Source organism: Homo sapiens, chromosome 3 (assembly GCF_000001405.40).
Source record: "Homo sapiens chromosome 3, GRCh38.p14 Primary Assembly".
In the NCBI taxonomy this organism is placed as follows: Eukaryota; Metazoa; Chordata; class Mammalia; order Primates; family Hominidae; genus Homo; species Homo sapiens.
In genome coordinates, this window is record NC_000003.12 from 20,010,001 (window position 1) to 20,015,384 (window position 5,384).

Consider the following 5,384-nt stretch of genomic DNA (forward strand, 5'->3'; position numbering starts at 1 on the left):
AGAGTATAATAAGTCCCCATACACTCATCACTAGCTTCGACTGTCATCAATATTTTTTTACTCCTGTTTCATCTATATCCCCATCCACCTTATTTTATGTTATTTTATTTTATTTGAGGTGGAGTCTTGCTCTGTCACCCAGGCTGGAGTGCAGTAGTGCTATCTCGGCTCACTGACATCTGCCTCCCAAGTTCAAGCAATTCTTCTGCCTCAGCCTCCTGAGTAGCTGGGACTACAGGTGCCTGCCACCATGCTTAGCTGATTTTTGTATTTTCAGTAGAGACTGGGTTTCACCATGTTGGCCAGGCTGGTCTTGAACTCCTGACCTCAAGTGATCTGCCCACCTCAGCCTCCCAAAGTGCCGATTTACAGGTGTGAGCCACTGTGCCCAGCCTGTTATTTAATTTTATCACAATTTTTGCTGGAGTATTTTAATGCCAATCTTCAAATCATATCAACTCACCCATAAATACTTCAGTCTCAACAGTCTAATCCAATCACTTCTTCAATACCTACAATAGGCCAGGCGCAGTGGCTCATGCTGTAATTCCAGCACTTTGGGAGGCCGAGGCAGGCGGATCACCTGAGGTCGGGAGTTCGAGACTAGCCTGACCGACATAGAGAAACCCCATCTGTACTAAAAAAATACAAAATTAGCCGGGCATGGTGGTGCGTGACTGTAATCCCAGCTACTGGGGAGGCTGAGGCAGGAGAATTGCTTGAACCCAGGGGCGGAGGTTGCGGTGAGCCAAGATCATGCCATTGCACTCCAGCCTGGGCAACAAGAGCGAAACTCCATCTCAGAATAAATGAATAAATAAATAAATATATAAAAATAAAAAATACCTACAATAGGCCAGCTACCGTGCAAGGTGCTGAGATGCACAGATGGATGAGGATGCACCCTGCCCTTGAAGCTATGAGGGAAAAAGTTTGCAGTGCTGTCCATATGCTCATCCAGGTCATTAATAACAGAATGAAACAGGTCAGGTGGAGCCAAGGACAAAGTCCCATTATTGTGCCCAACCGGGAACCTAGCCCTTCATCTGGCTAGGAATGGTGTGATGAGACCTAAGAAAATGACCTAGGAAAACTCACAGCTGAGACATATTAGCAAGGGGTCCAAGGCAATATCCAAGAGAATGATCAGTTAGCCGGCAGAAGGAGCAAGAGGACCCAGCAAAAGAAATGGACAGGTAAGCAGAGAAGTAGGGGAAGAAACTGGGTCTGTCAAGGCCTTTGAGAGCTTTTGGCCAAAATATATAAAAATATTTTAATTGCTATTTTTTGGTAATATTCATGTAAAGGATGTAGTTTTATGAGCCTTGATGGACTATTGGGACAATATATAAAGCACCGCAACAGTGTGTTTTGATCTGAAGTCAATTACTTGTATCAGAACTTCATTTTTCCATACGCCGGGGACAGCCATAATACAGCTCTATCACACGTGGGCCATTCTTAGAATGTATTGCATCATTCATATGTTCATTCATTCATAATAACAAATTAAATAGGCCGGGCACAGTGGCTCATGCCTATAATCTCAGCACTTTGGGAGGCTGAGGCGGGCCTATCACTTGAGGTCAGGAATTCGAGACCAGCCTGGCCAACATAGTGAAACCCTGTCTCTACTAAAAATACAAAAATTAGCCGGGCATGGTGGCAGCCGCCTGCAGTCCCAGCTACTCGGGAGGCTGAGGTGCGAGAATCACTTGAACCCGGGAAGCGGAGTTTGCAGTGAGCCGAGATCGCGCCATTGCACTCCAGCCTGGGCAACAGAACGAGACTCTGTCTCAAAATAAATAAATAAATAAAATAAGTTAATTAATTAATTAATTAACTATAAAGACATCAGAATAAGAGCATAGAGAGGAATGGAATTCCTCTTTTGTATAAGGCAGAGGGATATATCACTCTTCAATGTACACAGTTTAACAGGAAGCCAAGGTTTCATCTGATAATTAAGAAAGTGGAAGAAAAAAATACTGTAGATATAATTACTCATTGGCTATACGTATTATCCAAAAAAGATTTAAGAAAGTTTACCTTAAAGCATTATTGGTGCTCATGTTCCTTTGGAATTACCTTTCTTTGCCCTCCCTTTATCCCCTTCCCCTGGCCTCTATTTCTCCAACTTGAGTAGTGATGGTGATGGTGGAGGTAGAGGTGAATGTGATGGCTGTGGCAGAAGTAGTGGTGATGGTGATGATAGCGATGGTGGGCATTCCCCTCACTTGATGGTAGAGCTCCCTGTGTGGAATGTTCACTACATCACCTGGAACCTCAGTCAGAACTCACTTTATGATTCAGAAGGACTGTGAAGCAATAACATCACAAGTTGTATGAAGTAAACTTTGGAATTTCTGAAAGAAGGAGCATTTGTTAAATATACTGTCTTACTCTTCCTTTCTCCGCCATCATGGTGTGTGCTTGACTCTGCTTCTCGCCATGTCTTCTCACAAAACCTTCAGGATTAAGCGTTTCCTGGCCAAGAAACAAAAGCAAAATTGTCCCATTCCCCAGTGGATTTGGATGAAAACTGGTAATAAAATCAGTAGAACTTCAAAAGGAGACATTGGAGAAGAACCAAGCTGAGTCTATAAGGAATTCCACATGAGATGGCGCACATATTTATGTTGTGTGAAGGTCACGACCACCTTACCATATCAAGCTGAAAATGTTACCACTATCTGGACAATTGGACATGTTTCACTGGGACTATATTTTTTCTTTCTGTGTGTGCTATGAAGGCACTGGTTGGCTGGGTTCAGTAATAAATATGTGAGGTCTTTCGTTTTTCTCTCTCTGCATATATATATATATATACACACACACACACATATATGTATATATATAGACAGTATATATACATAGACAGTATATATATAGTGTATATATATAGACAGTATATATATATACACATATATACATATATATGTGTATATATATACAGTATATATATATATATATATATATATATATATACTATCTTACTGCTGGATGCAGGGGCTCATGTCTGTAATCCCAGCACTTTGGGAGGCCAAGACAGGAGGATTGCTTGAGGCCTGGAGTTCAAGACCAGCCTGGGCAGCGCATATCGAGACCCCATCGCTTCAACAAAAAAAAAAAAAGAAGAAAGGAAAGAAAAATTAGCTGAGCATTGTGGCACACACCTGTAGTCCTAGCTACTCAGGAGACGGAGGCAGGAGAGTTACATGAGCCCAGGAGTTTGAGGCAGTCAGCTGCAGTCAACTATGATTGTGCCATTCCACTCCAGCCTGGGTGACAGAGCGAGACCCTGTCTTTAAAATAAATAAATAAACTGTCTTATGCCTATGTAGTAGAAATGAAAATGTAAAAGGAGTGACTGTCAATTATTTTTATAACTTGTGGCACTTTCAAATAGCCATTTTAGGAGACTATCCTTACTGTACAGATGGGATGTCTTCCCACCCAGTGTTACAGCACCTCAGGCCATCTCTCGAGGACACCTCCTCTATCTGCTCTGTAGAGCCTGCCCACCCCATCTTGCTGTCTCAATTAACTGCCTGAGAGTTGTAGATCTTGACTGGACTGCCTTCACTCTTTCCCCTGCCTTCACTCCTGACTAATATCTTTAGTTCCCAAATGTTTAATCCACAGCTGCATGCCACTCCCTTACCCCAAGGCTGAGTTAGAACAAGAGTCCTAGAGCAGGTTGCCTGAATGCTGAAGAAGTTTGGACAAGCCCAACTGTCAACTAGGTGTCTCCCTGAAGAGGTATCAAAGTCAACATGTTCAAAATGGAACTCACTAACCTTCCCTCCAGAATCTTCTTTGATCATCAACTTAGTTTAACTGGAACGTCTCAGAGAATCCCTTTTCCTGTGTGGTTCCAGGTTAAATTTGGCCAAGAAGGGAATCTTAATATTTAAAACTTAGGGGTTTATATTGGAATGCTATCATCATCCAATGAGTTCACCCACAGATGCTGAAGTGCCTAGCAGGTTTCTGCTTGTCCTTTGTTCCCCACTACTCTGCCTCCAGCTTTTCCTCCAGCTCCAGGTCTTGCTGACCAATAGCAGCCCCAGGCCTATTAGCTGGCACCCGTCTTTGGGCCCACAGAAGCAAACATTTCCTCTAGCCTTCCCCATCAGCTTCTCCTTCATGGTCCAGCTTGGGCATCTGGATGTCCCTGGCTTCTCAGACTGACTGGCTGGGGACTTCCCTGATGCCCCATCTCCTCTTCCCAGATGTTTAGTTGACCAGCTTCTCCCACAAACTAATTTTAACAATAAATCCTTTATTCCACAATGCCTAGGGTTCTGCTTTACTGACTGAACCCTAGCTAATACAGAGACCAACATCACCCCATCCTCCTTTTCAGGATATATGAAATTGATCACCAAGACCTGTCAGATCTCTCTCTCTCTCTGTCTTTTTTTTTGAGATGTATTCTCACTCTGTCGCCAGGCTGGAGTGCAGTGGCACAATCTCGGCTCACTGCAACTTCTGGCTCCTGGGTTCAAGCAGTTCTCCTGCCTCAGCCTTACGAGTAGCTGGGAATACAGGCGCTTGCCACCACACCAGGCTGATTTTGTATTTTTAGTAGAGACAGGGTTTCACCTTGTTGGCCAGGCTGGTCTCGAACTCCTGACCTCAGGTGATCCACCCTCCTCGGCCTCCCAAAGTCCTGGGATTACAGGCGTGAGCTGCCACACCCAGCCACATCTCTCTCTTCAATATCCCTCTACCCACCCACTTGTCTCCATCCCCAGTGCTATCTCATGGTTCCAGGAGGCGAAAATATCTTGCCCAGATTACTGCACAAACTCCTAACTGCTCAACTCACTTCCAGTCTGGTTGCCTCTCAGTGCATTCCCCTTAGAGCAGTCAGAGGAGGTGATGCCCTGACTGAGGCCCGTTACTGGCTTGTCCTTGTCCTTGGGATAACCTCCTTAATGTGCCTGACAAAGCTCTGTCTCTGTTGGCGTCTGCTAATTTCTCCAGCCCCATCTGTTGGCACTGCTCCCTCAGCCCATGCCAATATTATGTAGAGTCATTAGATAAATCTTTGCCAGTTTGGTATTAGATTATTATAACCTGAATTTTGCCTTATTTATTGCTTTTTAAATCACACTGAGCATACAGGCACTGCATATTAATATCTAGCAGTTGGCCAGGCACAGTGGCTTATGCCTGTAATCCTAGCAACTTGGGAGGCTGAGGCAGGCAGATTGCTTGAGCTCAGGAGTTTGAGACCAGCCTGGGCAACATGGCAAAACCATGTCTTTACCAAAAATACACAAATTAGCTGGGTGTGGTGGTGCATGCCTGTGGTCCAAGCTACTTGGGAGGCTGAGGTGGGAGGATCGCTTGAGCCTGGGAGGCAGAGGTTTGCA

The 5,384-nt window shown here is 44.4% G+C and overlaps 1 protein-coding gene and 1 pseudogene across 2 annotated transcripts in view; one reads left to right on the forward strand and one right to left on the reverse strand.

Annotated features, from left to right (window-relative positions):
* PP2D1 (protein phosphatase 2C like domain containing 1) overlaps positions 1–2,264 on the reverse strand; it is a 32,304-nt gene extending 30,040 nt beyond the window's left edge. For both annotated transcript variants that reach the window (NR_027694.2, NM_001252657.2), the window contains exon 1: positions 2,050–2,264. Coding sequence is in view for 1 of the 2 variants with exons in the window: in NM_001252657.2 (NP_001239586.1) it covers positions 2,050–2,072 (23 nt within the window). In the remaining variant the exon portion in view is untranslated. The remainder of the gene's footprint in view (positions 1–2,049) is intronic.
* RPL39P18 (ribosomal protein L39 pseudogene 18) lies at positions 2,403–2,801 on the forward strand (annotated as a pseudogene).